General features: G+C 39.0%; 2 protein-coding genes and 2 pseudogenes across 19 annotated transcripts in view, besides 1 other annotated feature; 2 read left to right on the top strand and 2 right to left on the bottom strand.

The window, feature by feature from the left end:
* The window catches only part of ZDHHC20 (zDHHC palmitoyltransferase 20), an 86733-nt gene extending 68470 nt beyond the window's left edge, over positions 1–18263 (top strand). For 7 of the 17 annotated variants that reach the window (NM_001330059.2, XM_047430246.1, XM_047430243.1 and 4 more), the window contains 5 exons: positions 3200–3326; positions 7825–7914; positions 9285–9400; positions 12096–12173; positions 14179–18263. In NM_001330059.2, the coding sequence (NP_001316988.1) occupies positions 3200–3326; positions 7825–7914; positions 9285–9400; positions 12096–12133 (371 nt within the window). In that variant the 3' untranslated portion in view covers positions 12134–12173; positions 14179–18263. Of the gene's footprint in view, positions 1–420; positions 640–3199; positions 3327–7824; positions 7915–8888; positions 8934–9284; positions 9401–12095; positions 12174–14178 lie in introns of those variants that run through there. The other 10 variants (NM_001286638.2, XM_006719797.2, XM_047430244.1 and 7 more) reach the window with 7 other exon arrangements.
* Positions 1–21670, bottom strand: part of MIPEPP3 (mitochondrial intermediate peptidase pseudogene 3) — a 94799-nt pseudogene that overhangs the window by 2090 nt on the left and 71039 nt on the right. The gene's annotated exons all lie outside the window — the stretch shown is intronic.
* On the bottom strand, positions 12252–14145 carry LOC124903130 (nitric oxide synthase-like). The gene has a single exon (XM_047430813.1). It carries the CDS (start codon positions 13588–13590, stop codon positions 13240–13242), a length of 351 nt encoding a protein of 116 aa, XP_047286769.1. The 5' UTR covers positions 13591–14145; the 3' UTR covers positions 12252–13239.
* Positions 13374–13890: an enhancer, noted in NCBI's record as "H3K27ac-H3K4me1 hESC enhancer chr13:21951083-21951599 (GRCh37/hg19 assembly coordinates)". NCBI's record gives its function as "activates a minimal SCP1, AML or CMV promoter by ChIP-STARR-seq in primed H9 embryonic stem cells {active_cell/tissue: H9 hESC(primed)}" and the evidence as "EXISTENCE:reporter gene assay evidence [ECO:0000049][PMID:30033119]".
* On the top strand, positions 20935–21044 carry RNA5SP25 (RNA, 5S ribosomal pseudogene 25; annotated as a pseudogene).

Raw genomic sequence — 21670 nt, 5'->3', positions numbered from 1 at the left:
TGACCTCCTGGACTTAAGCAGTGTTCCCACCTCAGCCTCCCAAGTAGCTGGGTCTACAGGTGTGCACTACCACACCCAGCTAATTTATTTATTTCTTATGGAGATGGGGTCTTGCTACGTTGCCCAGGCCTGTCTCAAACTCCTGGGCTTGAGTGATCCTCCCACTTCGGCCTCCCAAAATGCTAGGATTACAGATGCAAGTCACCTTGCCCAGCCCATATATATTCTTTACTTTTTTCCCCCACAGTTAAACACATTTAACTGGCATATGTTCCATGACTGAGGCTAAGGAATAGTGCTTTTGACATGCCTCATTATTTCCATATTTGTGTCAGTTGTCAGTGAGACTTACGTATTGTGTCACTAGTATTAACATTTATTTCTCTTTTTGTTTGCTCATTTTAAAAAATGAAAATATAGGGGGAAAAGTAAGGTATTCACGTAATTGGACAAACATTCCCTAAACAGCAATGGTGGCATTGCTCACTGAGCTATTGACATGTAAGAAGTACTGCTATGTTATCATTGAAATATTCATGTATCTGCTAACATAACCAAGACACAAAATAAGGATTTTTACGGTAGTGTTTTGTAAAAAAGTTAAAATCCACCTGCAATCTGCAGCCATATATCTGCCAGGTAAGTTGGAGGGAAACAGTTTTTAATTACAGAAAAATTAAGGGATTTGGGGTGAGACATGTAGATGCTTTAGTTATTGGATCATTTTAACGTTGTGTTACTGAGCTGTGTTGTAAGTTATGGTGGGCTTCCAGTGTGAGGATTTGTTCCTTCTCTTCCAGTTCCATCATGCTTTCATCCCTTTTCCATGTAAATAAAATTTCTTATCCCTATTAACTACTTTTTTTTGTCATCTTTATAGAATATTATGCCATCTCTTTACCTTTAATTGAAAATGATAAAAAGGCAGCCTACAGGCAAAGTCCAGCCCTTAAGTTCTCCCCAACCAATAAAATCTATGTGAGTGATTTCACAAAGAAAACCAGATTTCTTCTTTTCAAAACTGATCAATCTAGTGGTAGTAGGCCCGTTTTCCCACTTGGCGTCAGTGAAATGGAGCTAAGCAGTGGTGGACTGCCCAAGATAGGGCATGGATTTAGATAGGGTGTGGACACTGTCATTTGCTGCAGGTCTTGCCAGTCGTGCCTTCTTTGTTTCCTGCCCAGCCCCCGTAGGTATGTGAGAGATTGGCATTTCTAGGGAACCTGCTATTCTCTTGAACAATCTTTTTCAAACTTTTTTTTGCCGGTGGCCACAGTAAGAAATGCAGCATTTCATATCATGACTTAGAACATGCACAAATATTTATAAAATTATATAAATAAAACAAGCAAAAGTTTCACAAAACCTTTTTAATCTCTACTATATGCAGTATATTCTGATATTTTCTTTTCTAGTTTCTTAAAAGGAAATGCGGGTTGCAAGTCACTCAGTTGATTATGTGGTCTGTTAAGGTGTTTTAACCCACACTTTGAAAAAACATTGCTTAGCACACCACTTTCTAACAGCTTCATCTCCCACAGCCCTGGTCTTTAGCTAGTTCTCCACTGATTCAGATGTTTGTTCTTGGGTCTTTTGAGGGTGTCTTATTCTGCTGTATCACCTCTGTCTTCTTCATAACTGTCACCTACCCACCTTGAGATCGTTTACCCTCATTTAGTGAGTTCCTACATTTAAGCTAATGCCATTATCCTGAACAAGCAAGCTAGTCCCTTTGATTCTGAGTTTTTTAATCGCTTAGAACTGAAGAGCCCCTGAAAATGAAATTTTAAACTTGAATATGTTATTCTCTATTTGCTGTATTCTGATGTACTTCCTGAGTCTTCTATTCTCCAACAATTTTCTCCTAAGTTTTTCTTTCCCTTCTGGTTTTATTTCTCACCCATGTCCATTCTAGATCCTATGATAAATGACTTTAACAGCTCTTGACAAAAACAGCTCCTTACATCTTTGGTGCCTAGACTTTCTCCCATTATTCCTTTGCTAATTCATGGCTCTGGTTATCCAGCCATCCTCTATCCGCGTGCACAGTGGGGCTGTTGAAAGCTGTAGAAGGATGTCTTACTCCATAAGGTTTGCTATAGCTACAGATTTAAGATGTTAGGCCTCATGGAGGGCCTTAGCTCTGTTTGGCAGTAATGTCACATGTTTCTGGTCAGGTCCCTCACCTGTTACCCAAGATGGTTATTCCAGATTTTCATAATTCTCCCACTCTCCTTACCCATTTTATGAGTTCCTAGTAGAAAAATTAGAAGGAGTCACAAGTAAACTCTCATCTTCACATCTTTATAGCCTCATACAAACATTTCTTGTTTCACACCCATCACTCTCACCTTCCTCTAACTTCTGAGGAAGAAAGATGTCTTTTCTGGTATTCAAGGTTAACCTTTACAACTTTTCTAGACTCCTTCCCATCTCTTCTAGGATCCCTTTCTTCAGTTTTTATTTTACTTTTTTATATCAGCAATCCCTCCCAATGCCCTGGGTTCTTATCCTTAGCTTATAAAACACACTGAAGTGCCTTGTTTTTAAATTAAAAAACATTTTTTGTGAAGCCTGTATCTTTCTCCAGACCTCACTCTACATCACTTAACAACCAAGCTTGAAATAATGGTCTAGTCATCCTCAGCTTGCTCACCTTTCCCTACAAGCACCCCCGAGGCACACATATGTCTCTATCGAGACAAAATTAGCTTCCTTCACCTCTGTGCTCCCAGTACGTCATGGCCATGTTAGCACTTATAACACTGTAATTTTTGCTAGACTCTAGGTTCTTTGGTAGGAATTTTATCTAATTTATCTTTGAATCCCAAATACCTGGTACAGTGCTATCAGGAACATAGTAGGAAATTCATAAATAATGAGTGAAGTTGCAGGAGTTAGAATATCTTGTAGAAAAAAAAAGCCAAGAGATACTGAGCACACAATACTAGATTTTCAGTAATATTTGATAATTATTTTGACATGTTACTTTATAAGGTTGATGAAATATTAAATGTGCTATTTTTTCCCAAAATAAGTTTCATAAATTTATCTTTTAATTGCTACTAATGTATTATTTATTTTAAATTATATTTACAGTTTTTGTGTCAAAGATATAAGCAAGAAAATTGGTAATTTCCATCCCTCCTATAATTTTTAAATAGATTAATTAGTTTATATATGTATGTATATTTAACAGAATCATTCCGCGCACCCACGTTTTCATACGGACCTGATGGAAATGGTTTCTCTCTTGGATGCAGTAAAAATTGGAGACAAGTCTTTGGTGATGAAAAGAAATATTGGCTACTTCCAATATTTTCAAGGTAATTTATAAAATGTGGGTCTCAGAGATTATGGCATCTGTGGTAGTCTCTTTTTCTGGTTAAATGTCTTCAGATTTAGAGAATATAATATATAATGATATTCTCACAGACTTTGAGAATGAAAACTCAAAATATCTTTTTTTATACATAAAATATTTTATTTTTCATTTTTTAATTAGATAAGGTTAAGGAGAGTTTATATATTTGAATGGGAAGTAGAAGAAAAAGATGATTCACTAAAAAAATAAGATTTTTTCTTCAAAATGCAAATAACTTGTTTGAAGTAAAGAATTATAAAAATTTATAGTTATTAGCCACAACTTCAAAGATCCTATCACAGAAATGAATTGTGTATTCTGTTGTGTCCTAAATCAAAGAAGACCAACCACATACTGCAATTTTACCCCAAATGTAAATGAGAGTATATTCTTGAGATGATTGATAGTTTCCATTTCTTTCCAGTTTCCATCCTTTTTAGGCCAGCTATATACCAAAGTCATCAAAAAGAAGGGAAAAATATTTGAAGATTGAGTGACATATTTGTAAGAGTTATGGGTTTTTTCCCTAGATTAACTGAATTGCCTTTTTTTGGTCTGAAAATGACTTATTTGCTTTCATTTTTTAAAGACATTTTTGCTTGGTATAAAATTCTAGATATTAGCCAGACACAGTGGGTCATGCCTGTAATCCCAGCACTTTGGGAGGCCGAGGCAGGTGAATCACTTGGGGCCAGGAGTTCAAGACCAGCCTGGCCAACATGGTGAAACCCGGTCTCTACTAAAAATACAAAAATTAACTGGGTGTGGTGGCGCACACCTGTAGTCCCAGCTACTCGGGAGGCTGAGGCACAAGAATCGCTTGAACCTGGGAGACAGAGGTTGCAGTGAGCTGAGATGGTGCCAACACATTGCAGCCTGGGCAACAGAGCAAGACTGTCTCTCAAAAACAAAACAAAAAATTTTAGATGTTGCTAAATGTTATGCTTCTGGGTTGCATTTTTCTAATAAGAAATTGTGATAACTCTTATTTTTGTTAGTCTATATATGTTTTTTCTATGGCTACTTTTAAGACTATCACTACTTCATGCAATTTGATTATGGTATATCTTGATCTAGTTTTCTAGTTTCTTGTGCTTGGTATTAGTTGAGCTTTTTGGATCTCTGGTTTTAGAGCTTTAATCAAATTTGGAAAATATTGTTAACCATTATTTTGTCATCTCCTTCCCCCTATTACTGTGAGGACTCCAATTACACATGTTATCAGTCACTCACAGTCCTCCCACAGCTCACTGATGCACTGTTCATTTTTTGTCTTTTTTCTGTGTTTCATTTTGTATAGATCCTATTGCTGTATCTTCAAGTTCATCGATCTCTTTTGTATACTTTATCCATTGTCTCATGTATTCAAGATTGTCCCCCTCCCATTGGTTGGAACACAGATTACTTGTTTTGAAGTTATTTCCTCTAAACAGAAATTTTGAAGTTATTTTCTGTAAACAGTGAATTCTAAGTCGATAGGATTTTGTTGTTGTTTTTTGTTTTCCTTCCTTTAAAGATGTTCCATTATCTTCTGGTCTGCATTGTTTCTAATGAAAAGTCAGCCTGACTCCCATCTTTATTTCATTGTTTGTAAATTACTATCCTTTCCCCTCCTGTAGCTACTTTTAAGAGTTTATCCTTATCATTGATTTTAAGTGGTTTGATGAGGTTCCTTGGTGTTTATCCTCCCTGGGGTTCATTAGGCTTCTCGGATCTGTAAGTTCTTAGTTTTCATCAGATTTGAATAATTTTCATCAGTTACGTCTTTATTTTTTTCTGCCTATTCCCCTCTTTCCACCTCCTCCCTGACCAGCTTTTCTGGTACTCTTGGGTATACATATGTTAAATAGCTTGATAGTGACCCACAGGTCATTGCTATTTTGTCCATCTCTGCCATCTTCTTTTCTCTGCTTCATTTTGGTTAATTTCTACTGCTAATATCCACAAGTTCACTGATCTCTTCTATAATGTCTAGCCTGCTGGTAAGCTCCTCCAATGAATCTTTCACTTAAGATTTTTAAAATATTTATTTATTTATTTAGAGACAGAGTCTTGCTCTGTCGCCCAGGCTGGAGTGCAGTGGCACGATCTAGGCTCACTGCAACCTGTGCCTCCTGGGTTCAAGCAATTCTTGTGCCTCAGCCTCCAAAGAAGCTGGGATTACCGGTGCGTAACACCACACCTGGCTAAGTTTTATATTTTTAGTAAAGACAGGGTTTCACCATGTTGGCCAGGCTGGTCTCAAACTCCTGGCCTCAAGCAATCCGCCCACCTCATCCTCCCAAAGTGCTGCTATTACAGGCATGAACCACCGTGCCTGGCCCAGATGTTGTATTTTTCAGCTCTGGAAGTTTGGTTTGGTTTTTTTTATATCTTACGTTTCTCTTTTAATTGTATCTATTTTTCCTTTTAATTCACAGGTACATTTATAATCATTTTAAAGTCTTGTTTGCTAATTTTCACTGAAATTGCTAATTTTCTGATTTTTTTCTATTGACTTTTTTTTTCTTAGCTATAGATCACATATGTGCTACTTTTCATGTCCAGTAACTTTTGATTGGGTGGTGGACATTTTGAATGCTACTTTGCTGCCTATGTAGATTGGCCTCCCGAAGGGCTAGGATTACAGGCATTACTACTGCACTTGGCCTGAGGCTTGTTTTAAGCTTTATTACGTTGAGTCCAGAGTATTACGTTCTGTAGTGCTAGTTTAGCGCTCCAATAAATGGAATTTCTACCAAATCCATGTGTTCAGTGAGATCGCCCCAGTCAAGCTGGTCAAATTTGAATGCTTCCCAGTGCTGTGAAAGCTCTGTGAATTATTCATCATTCATTATTCCCAGTTGTTCTTTTCCTGGATTCACAAGTGCAGCTTAGTATTTATCAAAAGACTTCAGGTACACCACAGTGCAGATTTCTGTAGCCATTTCTCTGCATATCTTGCTCTCTCTCAACTCTGTCCCATAGATTTAAGTCACCTCAGCCCCTCTTTTTTTTTTTTTTTTTTTTTTTGGAGATAGAGTCTCTGTCTCAAAGTGAGGCAGGCTGAGTGCTCAGGCTGAAGTGCAGTGGTGCGATCTTGGCTCACTGCAACCTCCGCCTCCCGGGTTCAAGCGATTCGTATGCCTCAGCCTCCCTAGTAGCTAGGATTACAGGCGCATGCCACCACACCCAGCTAATTTTTGTAGTTTTAGTAGAGATGGCATTTCACCATGTTGGCCAGGATGGTCTTGAACTCCTGACCTCAAGTGATCCGCCTGCCTCAGCCTCCCAAAGTGCTGGGATTACAGATGTGAGCCACTGCACCCGGCCCACCTCAGCCTGAAAACTCCCACCTCTGTCATCTCAATTCAGTGAAACTACCTTGTTCTGCTTGGTTTCCCACCCCCCATAGTGCCAGGGTCCTGGCAGAAAGCTGTAACTTAACTTGGTTTTGTTTTTCTTTGTTCTGAGACCACAGTTCTCTACTGCCTATTTTGAAAACAATTATTTCGTACTGTTCAGTTTCTGACTATGTACAGTTTACCAGTTATTCCATCTTGGCTAGAAGTAAAAGTCCCTATAGTATACAATTTTGATGTGTTTAGATAATATGAAAATAAGGCATAAGTATGCTCTTTTTAGACCGCAAGCTTCTTGAAGGCAGAAATTTTCTTCTCTTTTGTTCACTATTTCCTATATCTGTAGTGCTTAAAATAATACCTAGAACATCATAGGCATTCAGTAAATATTTGTTTAATGAATATTGTTGAATAAATAAATATGTGGAACTTACATCATGAATTTCAGTTTGAGCCTGAATGATTATGATAAGCAGGTCAGTTACCCAAATACTTGAATACCTATGCTTGGGGTGCTATACTAGGCATCATAATCTTAATAGGCACAGAAGACATTGTTTCTAAATGTATGTAAATTATAAAAGAAAAGGGCTTATGTCTGCAATAGAGGTATTAGTCTGTTCTCACACTGCTAATGAAGACATACCCGAAACTGGGTAATTTATAAAGGAAAGATGTTTAATTGACTCACACACGGCTGAGGAGGCCTCACTATCATAGTGGAAGGCAAGGAGAAGCAACTCACGTTTTATATGGTGGCAGACAACAAGAGTATGTGCCAGGGGAACTCCCGTTTATAAAACCGTCAGATCTTGTGAGATTTGTGCATTATCATGAGAACAGCACAGGAAAAACCCTCCCTCATGATTCATTTACCTCCCACTGGGTCCCTCCCTTGACAGTGGGAATTATGGGAACTACAATTCAAGATGAGATATGGGTGAGGACACAGCCAAACCGTATCAAGGTAATAACCCCTAAATTAGAAATTTTAGGAGTTACTTCCTTATATGACAAGTTATGATAATGTATGCCATGTCTCTGAAAAATGAGTGTTAAATTTGACCATTTTGATTTAACTTAACATTATTTAAATTATTACTCTTTTTCATTATGCAGCTTGGGTGATGGTTGCAGTTTTCCAACTCGCCTTGTGGGGATGGATCCAGAACAAGCTTCTGTTACAAACCAGAATGAGTATGCCAGAAGGTATGCTTATTGTCCTTATGCTTTTCTATATTCATCATAAAGCAAACCGTATACATGTGTTGTGTGTACATCTTATGAGTAAATACAGTAGTGATTTAGTAAGCCAGCATAGTTAGGGAAAGAGAAATTTAAATTTTTTTAACTGAGGTTTAATAAAAGTATATGTGCTAATAACCATAATTTTTTATTATCTAAACCAGAACACTTACGAGTAGGAAAGAGAATGCTTGTTTATTAATAGTTAAACCAGGATAATCAAATAAAGCTGGAAATGTCTGGGCAAGCTGGGGAGCAACTAAGACCTTTCAAGATTTGATTAGATTGGTTTATGTCAGTTATGTTTTTGCAAATAAATTAGTCATTATACTAATCACCATTTTATTTTGATAAATTTTAATATACTATCAAAATAATGAGGATTCAAAAATACAAATTTTTTTCATTAATTCATCTTAGAGGAAATTTTCCCATAATATTTGCATGGCAAGTAAACTTTCATACATTCAGTGTAATAGTTCCTTTTAAATGAAATTTTAAAGAAGCTAGAGATACTTCTGTCCACGTAAAACATTGGTAATTTATTCACTACAGAAATAAGTTGTAGGAGAAGAGAAAATGATAAGTTCTAAGCTAGCATATTAATATTGGAAGAACCATAAATCTTAGAATGTAGCTTAAAACCTTAGACCTTTGAGCTCTAACATTTGTTAGGGTTCTGGCCAAGTCACTTAAACTATGAGCCTCAGTTTCCACCTCTATAAAATTAGGATAATGATACTTACCACCAAAGTTTATTTTGAGGGTTGAGATAATGTGTATAAGATGCCTAGCATCGTGTCTGGCCCATAATAGGGAACCAACAAATGTTAGTTTCCTTTTCCTCTTCCTTTCCTTCCTCCATTCCCTCCCTCCCTGGATCTTTTAGCTAGAAAAATAAGTCTACGCTAAATCACTGAATCATTTTTTCCCCTTAGATCTAAACTGCAGAGGTAGAAAGCAGAAAACTTGGCAAATGACAGGTAATTGTTTTGTACTGGCCACAGATATAGATCCTCACCTGTCCTTGTACTACCTATGGCTCCTGATTAACATATTAAGAACATTTCAGACTGGCCTCTGAAGCTTTTTAAATTTTGACTAATTGTTTTCATTGGCAGTGTTGGAATACAGATTCTTGGGTCTAGAGAGCCATTTAATGGGGGGTTGTGGGCCTATTTTTATTTTGAAGATAGTTTTTTCAGAGTGCTAAGATCTCATGAGTTGCCCTCACATATTTAGGAGAAGGAATACTAATTTGCTGCTTATTAATTTATTAAGTATCCATAGTTGAGCATTAAGCTGTTTACTAAGTTGTTTGCTCTTCTTTTCAGTAGTGGCTCAAATCAACCTTTTCCTATCAAACCACTTAGTGAATCAAAAAACCGCTTGTTGGACAGTGAATCTCAGTGGCTGGAGAATGGAGCTGAAGAAGGCATCGTCAAATCAGGTAATAGTTCTCATTTGAAACACTGCTTTGTCTGGTTCAAATGAAAAGCACCAGATATAATACATGTGGAAAAATCAAAATAATGTAACATTTTAAAAATACTAAAATATGTGAAACTTTTAAATATATGCTGGGCGCGGTGGCTCACGCCTGTAATCCCAACACTTTGGGATGCCGAGGCGGGTGGATCACAAAGTCAGGAGAATGAGACCATCCTGGCTAACACGGTGAAACCCCGTCTCTACTACAAATATAAAAAATTAGCCGGGCGTGGTGGCGGGCGCCTGTATTCCCAGCTACTCAGGAGACTGAGGCAAGAGAATGGCTTGAACCCGGGAGGCGGAGCTTGCAGTGAGCTGAGATCGCGCCACTGCACTCCAGCCTGGGTGACAGAGCGAGACTCCATCTCAAAAAATAATAATAATAAAAAATAAATAAATAAATAAAATATATATAGGGTGTTTGTGTTTCTTAGTAGCTTCTATGAGGAAGGGATAGAGCGAGGAGAGTATAGCGGCTCATGTTTTCTTCTATGCAACTGCAGGTTTTTGTTAACCCAGCCACATATTTCTCCACTGAGATATGGAAAGTTCTTTTGGCATTGGCTGTTCTGAATAAGCAACGTTATTCTTTTTTTTTTTTTGAGATGGAATTTCGCTCTGTCACCAGGCTAGAGTGCAGTGGCACGATCTCTGCTTACTGCAACCTCCGCCTCCCGGGTTCAAGTGATTCCCCTGCCTCAGCCTCCCGAGTAGCTGGGACTACAGGTGGTTGCCACCATGCCCAGCTAATTTTTTGTATTATAGTAGAGACGGGGTTTCACCATGTTGGCCAGGATGGTCTCGATCTCCTGACCTTGTGATCCACCCGCCTCAGCCCCCCAAAGTGCTGGGATTATAGGCATGAGCCACCATGCCCGGCCAGCAGTGTTATTCTTTAGGGTCCCAGCTTTTGCTTAGTTGAAAATAATTCTTGAAAAGCATTACATCCTTTGCTGCCTTAGTTAAAAAAGAGCACACTGGCCAGGAACGGTGGCTCACGCCTATAATCCCAGCACTTTGGGAGGCCGAGGTGGGTGGATCACAAGGTCAAGTGTTAGAGACCAGCTTGGCGAACGTGGTGAAACCCCATCTCTACTAAGAATACAAAAATTAGCCAGGTGTGGTGGCACGTGCCTGTAATCCCAGCTACTCGGGAGGCTGAGGCAGGAGAATCGCTTGAACCCGGGAGGCGGAGGTTGCAGTGAGCCGAGATCACACCACTGCACTCCAGCCTGGGTGACAGAGTGAGACTCCATCTCGGGGAAGAAAGGAAAAAAAGGCTGGGCACGGTGGCTCATGCCTGTAATCCCAGCACTTTGGGAGGCCGAGGCAGGCGGATCACGAGGTCACGAGATCGAGACCATCCTGGCTAACATGGTGAAACCCCGTCTCTACTGAAAATACAAAAAATTAGACGGGCGAGGTGGTGGGCGCCTGTAGTCCCAGCTACTCGGGAGGCTGAGGCAGGGGAATGGCGTGAACCCCGGGGGTTGGAGCCCGCAGTGAGCCAAGATTGCACCACTGCACCCCAGCCTGGGCGACAGCGAGATTCCATCTCAAAAAAAAAGAAAAAAGAAAAAAAAGAGCACACTGAATATATTTTAACCTTTTCTAGGTGACTCTTAATCATTTATGAATTGAGGATTAAGGTATAGAATAGTCAGTAAAATTGAAGTGGGAATTTTCATCAGACCTGGGTTTAAAATATTGTCTGGCTACTTAACTAGCATTACAGTCTAAAACACATCTGTTTTTTAATGATAATAGTAATAACACTGATTATTTCCTTGCACTATAGAAAAGTGGTTTTGGGTCAGGCACAGTGGCTCACACCTGTAATCCCAGCACTTCCGGAGGCTGAGGCAGGAGGATCACTTGAGCTCAGGAGTTTGAGACCAGCCTGGGCCATATAGCCTATCTCTACGAAAAACTTTGGGAAAAAAATTTTCTAGGCCTGATAGCATGTGTCTGTAGTCCCAGCTATTCAGGAGGCTGAGGTGAGAGGATTGCTTGAGCCTGGGATATTGAAGCTACAGTGAGCTATGATCATGCCACTGCACTTCACCCTGGATGACAGAGCAAGACCCTGTCTCAAAAAAAAAAAGGAAAAAGAAAAATGATTCTGGACATTTAGCTCCATTTGTACTAACTAGCAAATACCCTAAATACCCTTAAAGACCTACTGTTCGAATTTCTGAGGTTTTTTTGTTGTTGTCTTGACTTTTAGCAGCATTTAAAACATTCTCTTAAATTAGTATCTTTAGGATCTTCATTGGGATCATTACATCTTTTGTATAAGGTCAAGGAAAAATTCCAAAGTTTAAGGCCAGCCTAGGCAATACTATTAAGGCCCGTCTCTAAAAAATAACAATCTAGGGAAAAGTTCATTTTGTGAACTTCTTAATTATTGCTGTTTAACATCTTTAAAGCCAATAGGTATTTCCACAAGATAAACATAAAATCAAACTTTTGACTGCTAATGTTAGCTCTTTACTTACTTCTAGGTTCTATAAGAAGACAAATGGTTGACACCATAAGCCTATTTTGTATTTACATGATAGTCATTTTTGCTGTCATTTTACCATTTAGCCAGAAACTTAATACTTCTTTTTTTTTTTTTTTTTGTCATGTCATATATAATTATATGCTTACAGGGACAAATAACCATGTAACAGTGGCAATAGAAAATTGAGTACCACTTGTTCATAACTAACCATTTGAATAAGAGCAAGGTAAGACAGTATAAAGGTAATCCTTGAATAAATGCAGCTTATTTGCATATTTCATAATCTTTAAACAATTTGCAGTTGTATTTTTTTAGTCTTTTTAATTATATCAGCAAAATTAGGCAGTACAGGAAAGACTAGAATGTAACATCTGCCCAAATCTCATTTTCCTTATTCCTTATAGAATAATCTTAGTAATTATTTGTTGGTAAATTAATGAAGAAACTAATAAAAATAGTTTAGGACTAGTATGTGGACCACTGGCCTTTTCAGAAGGCAGTACCTTATTAATTAAAGAAAAAAAGGTGGGCAGGCAAGGTGGCTCACACCTCTAATTCCAGCACTTTGGGAGTTCAAGGTGGGAGGATCACTTAAGTCCAGGAGTGAGAGACCAGCCTGGGTCAGATACTTAAATTAGTATAGTGAGACCTCATCTCGACAAAAAATAAAAAATTAGCCAGGTTTGTGTTGATGCACACCTGTATAGTCCCAGTTACGTGGGAGGCTGAAGTGGGAGGATCACTTGAGCCCAGGAGGTCGAGGCTGCAATGAGCCAAGATGGCACAAGCTGCACTCCAGCCTGGGTAACAGAGCAAGGCCCTGTCTCAAAAAAAGAAAAAAGAAAAAAAGGTGACTTTTGTCCACTATTGAGGAAATTCGACCCAGAGAAAAATGACCAAAATTAAAGGCTCTAAGAAAGAAATAAGAGGTTTATCTATGTTATATGGTTTGTAAAAGACACAGCAAGAGAAAATTGCTAAGTAGGAAATTACCACAAACATGGAGCTTATCGCATTTATCATCCTGTTCCTGTATAACAGGAGTTTGTTTTTCTAGAGGCATCTTATCTTTAGTGTCAGCTAGAGGAGCATCTGTTTCCTCACTTGTGGGCTTGTCCTCAGCAGTTAGGTCCTTGCAGAGGACCTGGAGCCTGCGGGCAGGGCTGCAGCCAGAGCCTAAGACCCAGGACGGAGTCAGATCACAGGCACTAGGGGTGGAGGTCACGTCGGGCAGAGTCAGATCACAGGCACTAGGGGTGGAGGTCACGTCGGGCAGAGTCAGATCACAGGCACTAGGGGTGGAGGTCACGTCGGGCAGTCAGATCGCAGGCACTAGGGGTGGAGGTCATGTCGGGCAGAGTCAGATCGCAGGCACTAGGGGTGGAGGTCACGTCGGGCAGAGTCAGATCGCAGGCACTAGGGGTGGAGGTCACGTCGGGCAGAGTCAGATCACAGGCACTAGGGGTGGAGGTCACGTCGGGCAGAGTCAGATCACAGGCACTAGGGGTGGAGGTCACGTCGGGCAGAGTCAGATCGCAGGCACTAGGGGTGGAGGTCACGTCGGGCAGAGTCAGATCGCAGGCACTAGGGGTGGAGGTCACGTCGGGCAGAGTCAGATCGCAGGCACTAGGGGTGGAGGTCATGTCGGGCAGTCAGATCGCAGGCACTAGGGGTGGAGGTCACGTCGGGCCGAGTGCGCTGCAGTCAGAAGAGGAGCTGTGTCCCGCATACGGTGATTGTAAGCCAGGTCCATGCCACCAAGAGCTGGAGCTGTGGAGTAGTACTTGGTCCCCAGAAAAGCCCTCAGTCTGAGGTCCACATTTCTTCTTAATGTGGGCAGAAATAATTGCTGATGCTTGTGGTGGTTGAGAATCCTCAGCTGCAGTTCCTTTAACAGTTGCTGTGGGAAGTTTTCTACATCTTGCGCCAATCTTAGGACAGGTGTAGGTGGACCAGATGTCTTCTCAGATGATGTCCAAGTTAGCAGTCTGGGAGTACTGTAAGATTCTTCCTTTTAAAATACTCTTTTGATTGCTTCTGGGGAAGACAGTAATACCCACTCATTTACTGCTACAAAAATCTTTATTGTTATAATATTAGTAGTGTTAAGGAATTCATTTTCCATCTTGTTATATTAGTAGCTTTGTACCTTAGCCCACAGAACCATTTAGTAAATATTTTCAGAAATAAAAAATCAAGTTTTAACCAATAATTTGTTTCTTTTTTTGTAGGTGTATGAAAACATTATAGACTGGTATTTTCAATTTTCATTTGCAAGAAAATGATCAGTGGAATGAAATAACTGAAGTATAACAGAAGATATATTTTTTAAAACGGAAAGCCTTTGTACAGTTCCTGGGATTCACAGAAGCACTACTCCAGAGCAGAATGATGCCTTAATCTTAAGTGTCCATTTGTGCAGCATTGACTTAGAGCTACAAAAGTGACTTAATGTTATTCTGGAAATAATACTTACCTGTTATGAGTTGCTATAATATGAGCTGTCATCACATTTTAACATGCATATGTATTTTTTGATACCTGAATTACATTATTAGAATAAGTATCCATATACATTTTCACTCCAAAAACACAAGCTTAAAAACTTTAAAGTACATCTAGGGCAAATGGTGGCTGAAAGTGAATAATATTCAAATTACTGTTGCTTGTACTGTATAAGGAAAACTGCTTTTTTAAATTGGGTATTTGCTAATTTATAATTACTATTTTATACTTTTCAACATTTTTAATAACTTTTTTTATTGTTGGCTATAACAGAAGGATTCAGATATCTAAATATCATTTAGAACATAGAACACATTGGTCTAATTCATCGAAAGCTTAGTTATGAGCATTAATACAACCATGTAGTAGAGCAAGTGCCCAAGGTTTAAAGGGAACTTGGCAGTATAAGAAATATTTTGGGTTCTCTCTGCTATTTTATAGCTTTTTTTGTTGAACTTTCAGGGGTATGTACATGGGCAGAGAAACACAAAGGTACATGTGCTGGAGAATACTGGACACAGTAGGAAGAAGTATAGGTGTCCAGAAGAAAATCTAAGAGGAATATTGTAATTTGTTAAAAAAAATAGTTTTGAGTTTTAACAGCAGTTAGAATAAAGCATGCTGTTGACTTCACTTTCAAATTTCAGTGTAGGTAATGACTAAAAATTACTTTGAAACTTTTTACAGTAATACTGTAATAGCTTAAACAGTGATTTAAAATGCAATTTAAACTAGGCAAAAAAAACTTTAGAGTAAGTTTTCCTCCTGGCTGTCAGTTGGAAATTCTAACCTGAGTGGTCATTTTACATTCCCAGTCTCTTGAGAAGTGGATTCTACTCTTAGACGCACAGTCTGAAGTCTGACTTCCTAACGGCAACCCCTTTATGACTAGACACATTTCTCCTTTTTCCTTTTAAAATCTAAGCGACAGGAGGTGTTGCATTAACTCCAAGGAAAAGTACAGAATAAACAATGTAGAAATGTCACTCCTCATTTACACCTTTTAGACAGACAGACACACACACACACACACCCCCCCCAAAATAATTGATTGCTTCCAGTGAGTGGGTGGAGATGAATCTCAGCAGCATCTGTGAGTACTACAGGTTGGAGCTTCCTGTCTGTAAAATGGGACTGCAGGGGAGGGGGTGTTGTGAATAAGTTGGACTGGATGACTTCTAACATTCTGTGATGCCTAATTTTGCAAAATCACTTTTCATTCACCCAATAAATTTTTTTCTTCTTTTTTCCACAGAGTTTTGCTCTGTCTCCCAGGCAGGAGTGCAGTGGCGGGATCTTGGCTCGCTGCAACCTCTGCCTTCCAGGTTCAATAGAGTCTCCTGCCTCAGCCTCCCAAGTAGCTGGGATTACAGGCTCATGCCACCATGCCCGGCTAATTTTCACATTTTTAGAAGAGACGAGGTTTCACCATGTTGACCAGGCTGATCACTAACTCCTGACCTCAAATAATCCACCCACCTCAGCTTCCCAAAGTGCTGGGATTACAGGCGTGAGCCACCACGCCCCGCCCCGGTAAATTTTTTGGAGTACCTTCTGTATGCTAAATAATAAACTAGGAATAGCTCTGTCATTTCCTAGTACAGCATAAATTTTATGGTTGCTACTGTAGGTTTATAATTTGTTTATAATTTGGCCTAATTTCCATCAGCCATACTAATATTGGATTTTAAAAGGAGGCAACTTTTTTTCTTTTTGAACCAAAGGAATGAGTTAGCTTTGAAAACATAATTTGGGATATTATAGTATGGATTCTTCTACCTTTGTTTCAACTCCTTAGTAATCTTGATTCTAGCAAACTAGAATGAGATTTAAGAGATACCAATTATTGCTGGGTGTGGTGGCTCATGCCTGTAATCCCAGCACTTTGGGAGGCCAAGGCTGGCGGATCACCTGAGGTCAGGGGTTCGAGATTAGCCTGGTCAAAATGGCAAAACCCTGTCTCCACTAAAAATACAAAAAAACCCCAAAACTGTCCAGGCATGGTGGCACACGCCTGTAGTCCCAACTACTCGGGAGGTGGAGGCAGGAGAATCACTTGAACCCAGGAGGTGGAGGTCGCAGTGAGCCGAGATCGTGCCACTGCACTCCAGCCTGGGCGACGAGTGAAACTCCATCTCAAAAATATATATATATATCAATTACCAACTAAAAACATAACTCCAGTTTGGCAGTTTGCATATTATAAGGAGATAAATGTTAAAACATACTTGACTACTTTCAGAAATGTTCTCCTGGTACTTTTTGCATTTCTACATTCAGATAAAAAGATTTGCATGCACCTGGCTAACGCCAAGGGAACTTCATTTTTTTCTTCACTATTATGCACTTTCATGGTATAGTCTTTCTCAGTTCTTTTAATTTTTGTTATTTAACATCTTTAATAGCACAGCAAACATCTTTTCAGAAATTTTCAGTTAAAGCCTTTGAATTACTTATCTTTGATTTAATTTACAGCCAGCATTTTGCCACGTTCTAAATAATATTTAGCTCAACTGATTCATACGTATTAATGACCATTCTAGCAAAGGCCTACAAGTGGTGTGGGAATCAGGGAAAGGCTGCCTCTTTGGTATCTCAACTGGTATTGATTATTGCTATCAACTATTTGGGGAGAAAAAATCAAAATGAAGCCCTGTCAAATTTTAGAAGTACTATCTTTGGTCCTTCAAACACTTTGTGATGACACCTTAAGAAAAATAAAGTTGAAGTTCAGGTCTTGCCATTGCCATTACAGACAAATTAGGAGACTTGGTTTACCTGGGAACAAATTTACTTGAATATTCAGTACCTGAAACTATGCCAAACCAAAGAGCAGCTGCAGTACATTCGTTATTTTAAATGAACAAGTTTACAAAGTTTATTTTCATCTATACGTAAGGATGATTTTTTTAAAACTTTTTACATATTAGTGGTTATGATCCAATGTGTCATGAGTGAATTTAACTGTAAGGTGGTTTAAATCAAATATGCAATGTTTACTTGAATTGTATTTCTATTAGCAGATTTTGACTATGTTTACAGGACGGTTTAAATTAAGGATTATCAGGCATGTGAGATCTTTCAGTTATCTTTAAAGTAGATGTATATTAAGGGCTTAGATTTAGGATCTACATATTCTGGGCATTGAATAGGCAGTAACTTACAAATAAGTTTTGCTTACCTTTTGTTCTAGGGACTAGCACTGCTATCAATGGAAAGTATTTTTAACTAATCTGTTATTAAGAAAGTCATATTTTTGCATTTCAGCCAAAATAAAGACCGCCTGTAATAATCTGTTAGAAACAGATAATACATGTCTGAAATCCATATGTTTCATATGATCTAAACTGTATTTTCCAATTTAAATTAAAAATGTAATATAGATTCAGAAAGGTTCATATTTTTCTAATGACTTCATTCTATATTATTTTGTTAGGTTGCATAAAGAAGCAAGGAATTGTACTTGTATTAAAAGATGAAGAAAGCTATTAGGTATATTTGTACATGACTGCAAATGAGTCTATGCCCGTTTAAAAGAAAAGATGGACACTATTTTAAAGTGAGCTTTAATATGCTTTTATATAAACAAATTTGAAGTACAGTTTAGTTTGGTTGTGTTTACCTAACAAGTACCATAAGCCTTGTGTTTGTTCTTATTTGTATAATCCTAGCCTGTGACTTAATGTTGATGCTTTGCTTTGTCTTTTGGCTGGCCTAACCTACATTGACATGTACACAGAACATTTTAAAACTTTTTTTTTCAAAAGTCATAATGAATTACTTTATTAATAAACAAAGTCTTGTATTTGAAGTGTTTTCTTTGTTATAAAGTGGTATTTACCAAATGAGAGAGTAACTTATGTTTATCAACTTGAAAATCTGGTAAAATAGTGCTTGGTTAGAGAAAGAGATTGGCTAATAGTTTGGGGAAACCACTTTTAAGATAGGTATTATTTTAGTGCAACAAAATTGTTGTTTACTTAGGTTTATTCAAAACCTAAAGAGTTTAACTTAGCTTTTTACTGAACATAATTTAATTTCAGAAGTCATTTAGGATCTTGAGAACCTTCAGATCACTGTAAGTTGTTGAATTGTGATTGTTAAAATGCTGAATAATTAATAGATTTTATTATGTAGAATTATTTTATGGCATCTGTGTTCCAGTGCCCTTCCAAAGAGGCCAAGTTTGTTATTAAAGCCATTTAAAGATTTCCTGTAGCTATATTTATAAAAATTGAAGTATCTCCACCAGAAAGGAAAGATCTTGAAGACGGGTAAAAATATCAAATTGCAGGCCGGGCACGGTGGCTCATGCCTGTAATTTCAGCACTTTGGGAGGCCGAGGTGGGTGGATCACTTGACGTCAGGAGTTCGAGACCAGCCTGGCCAACATGGTGAAACCCTGTCTCTACTAAAAATATAAAAATTAGCCGGGTGTGGTGGTGGGTGCCTGTAATCCCAGCTACTTGGGAGGCTGAGGCAGGAGAATCACTTGAACCCAGGAGGCACAGGTTGCAGTGACCCGAGATCGTGCCACTGTACTCCGGCCTGGGTGACAGAGCAAGACTCTTGTCTCCAAAAAAAAAAAAAAAGTCAAATTGCTGAAATCTGCAATCTGCATATAATGTGATCCCACTTAAGAGTTTTACAGTATCCATGCTGTGTACCTGTGTGTTAAACTCAGCCTATTAATTGAGCGCCTACTCCAGGGAATGGGTGAGTAGTGGAAATAGAGCCACAGGCATCCTGCCTTTCCAGGCAGTGGTCCTGTGTGGGGTACAGGCATACAGGTACAACACCCCTCTGGGTGTTAATTGATAGAGGGAGTGAGAAATGATGGCTTATGGTTTGTCTCATTCAGCCACCGGAAGTGACAACCCTCTATTTAGAAGATTTACCAACTATGATCCTGTGCATATAATGTGGACCAGCTGCTGTTAAGTTTTTACCGCAACCTTCTAAAATAAATGTGAATTATTTGCAACATGTAGAGCCTCTCTAGATGTGGAGAGGTTGTCAACGATGCTAAAAGTAAAATGAGAAAAACTTGTTTTCCAACCCTTTTGTTAAGATTCACTGGAAAGGAACATTGCCTTCTGGAAATCACTTACGGGAATGCAATTTTTACAGCATTTCTTGGACTCATGCCCTCGTTCGTTTCATGGGTTGAAGGAAGGGCAAAAGGCAGTGAAGGAGGGGAAAGGTTCCCGCCAGAATGTGCATTTAGAAGCATTGATCCACAGGCGTGCTATTACTCAGCACTCCTGTGGATACAATGATAAACTTCACTCAGCACTCCTGTGGATACAATGTTAAACTTAGGTCCTTCATTCAAATGCCTGTATCTAGCTTTTCTACGTGTTTAGATGTGCTCACCACATATTAAAAATAGATGTGGAGTAGTGTTTGAAAAATATTGAAAATATTGAAAAATATTTTCAATACAGTCATCTCTTGGTATCCATGGGGATACTGAGGTCTGCTTGAGCATCCTCGGATTTTGATATCCGTGGGGATTGGTCTAGGACCTCCCACAGATACCAAAATCCACAGATGCTCAAGTCCCTGATATAAAATGGCCTAGTATCAGGCACAGTGGCTCACGCCTGTAACCCCAACACTTTGGGAGGCCGAGACAGGTGAATCACTTGAGCTCAGGAGTTCAAGATCAGCCTGGGCAACATGGTGAAACCCTGCCTCTACAAAACAAAAAAATTAGCCAGGCGTGGTGGTGGACGCCTGTAGTCCCAACCATTCGGAAGGCTGAGATGGGAGGATGAATTGAGCCCGGGAGGCTGAGGCTGCAGTGAGCAGTGATGGAGTCACTGCACTCCACCCTGGGTAAGAGAGCAAGATCCTGTAAGTAAATAAAATGGTCTAGTATTTGCATGTAATCTATGCGTATCCTCCCATATACTTTAAATCACCTCTAGATTACTTATAATACCTAATATAGTGTAAATGCTATTAATACATATAGGAGTTATATTTTTTATTATTATAATTATAATTATTATTTTTGAGACAGAGTTTTGCTCTTGTTGCCCAGGCTGGAGTGCAATGGCATAATCTTGGCTCACCGCAACCTCTGCCTCCCAGGTTCAAGCAATTCTGCCTCAGCTTTCCAAGTAGCTGGGATTACAAACGTCCCACTATGCCCGGCTAATTTTGGTTTTTTTTTTTTTTTTTTTTTTTTTTTTTTTTTTTTTTTCAGTAGAGACAGCGTTTCTCCATGTTGGTCAGGCTGGTCTCGAACTCCAAACCTCAGGTGATCCGCCCGCCTCAGCCTCCCAAAGTGCTGGGATTACAGGCATGAGCCACCGCACCCGACTTTTTATTTGTATTTTTTATTGCATTGTTATTTGGGTGAAGGGTTCCCTGAATATTTTTGAGCCATGGTTGGCTGAATCTGCAGATGCAGAACCCGTGGATATAGAGCATTGCTTTAGAAAGATTGTCTCCCTAATAGAAAGTGCTAAACCACCTACAGCTGTACCGCCCTAAACATGCCTGATGTCATCTGATCTTGGAAACTAAGTAGGGTCGTGCCTGGTTAGTACTTGGATGGGAGGATGTTAAACCACTGAAAATTACATTAATCTATGCTCTTCTCTGAGTGGTTGGAGGATAGGGAGAAGGGAATTATGCACGTTTATTTATTAGAAGTATATATTCTAATTTCATATGACACATTTAATGTTGCTGTATACATAGGGTATATAAAAGTATATGTTCTAATTTCATGACAAATATCGAGTTAGCAAATATATTTTAGGATACTGTTGGTTAAATTCAGAGGAAAGTCTTTTTTGTTTGTTTGTTTTTTGAGACAGAGTTTTGGTCTTGTCACCTAGGCTGGAGTGCAATGGTGTGATCTCAGCTCATAGCAACCTCTGCATCCCAGGTTCAAGTGATTCTCCTGTCTCCCGAGTAGCTGAAACTACAGGCATCTGCCACCACACCTGGCTAATTTTTGTATTTTACTAGAGCCAGGGTTTTGCCATGTTGGCCAGGCTGGTCTCAAACTCCTGACCTCAGGTGATCCACCTGCCTTGGCCCCTCAAAGTGTTGGGATTATAGGCATGAGCCACTGCACACAGCCAGAAGAAAATCTTTTAAACATTGCTTTTTTAAAAATTTTTAAATAATGTCAACATATTTATTTGAGAACAGGTGATGAGACTGGCTAATTTTTGTATTTTTCTGGTGGAGACGGAA

The sequence above is a fragment of the Homo sapiens genome, chromosome 13, assembly GCF_000001405.40.
Source record: "Homo sapiens chromosome 13, GRCh38.p14 Primary Assembly".
Lineage (NCBI taxonomy): Eukaryota > Metazoa > Chordata > Mammalia > Primates > Hominidae > Homo > Homo sapiens.
The sequence above is the reverse complement of the archived record's forward strand: the minus strand, read 5'-3'. Positions and strand labels throughout refer to the sequence as shown.

Excerpts from the sequence above, each read along its gene's own strand:
- LOC124903130 (XM_047430813.1), bottom strand. The coding sequence starts at position 13,590 with ATGACCTCCACCCCTAGTGCCTGCGATCTGACTCTGCCCGACGTGACC.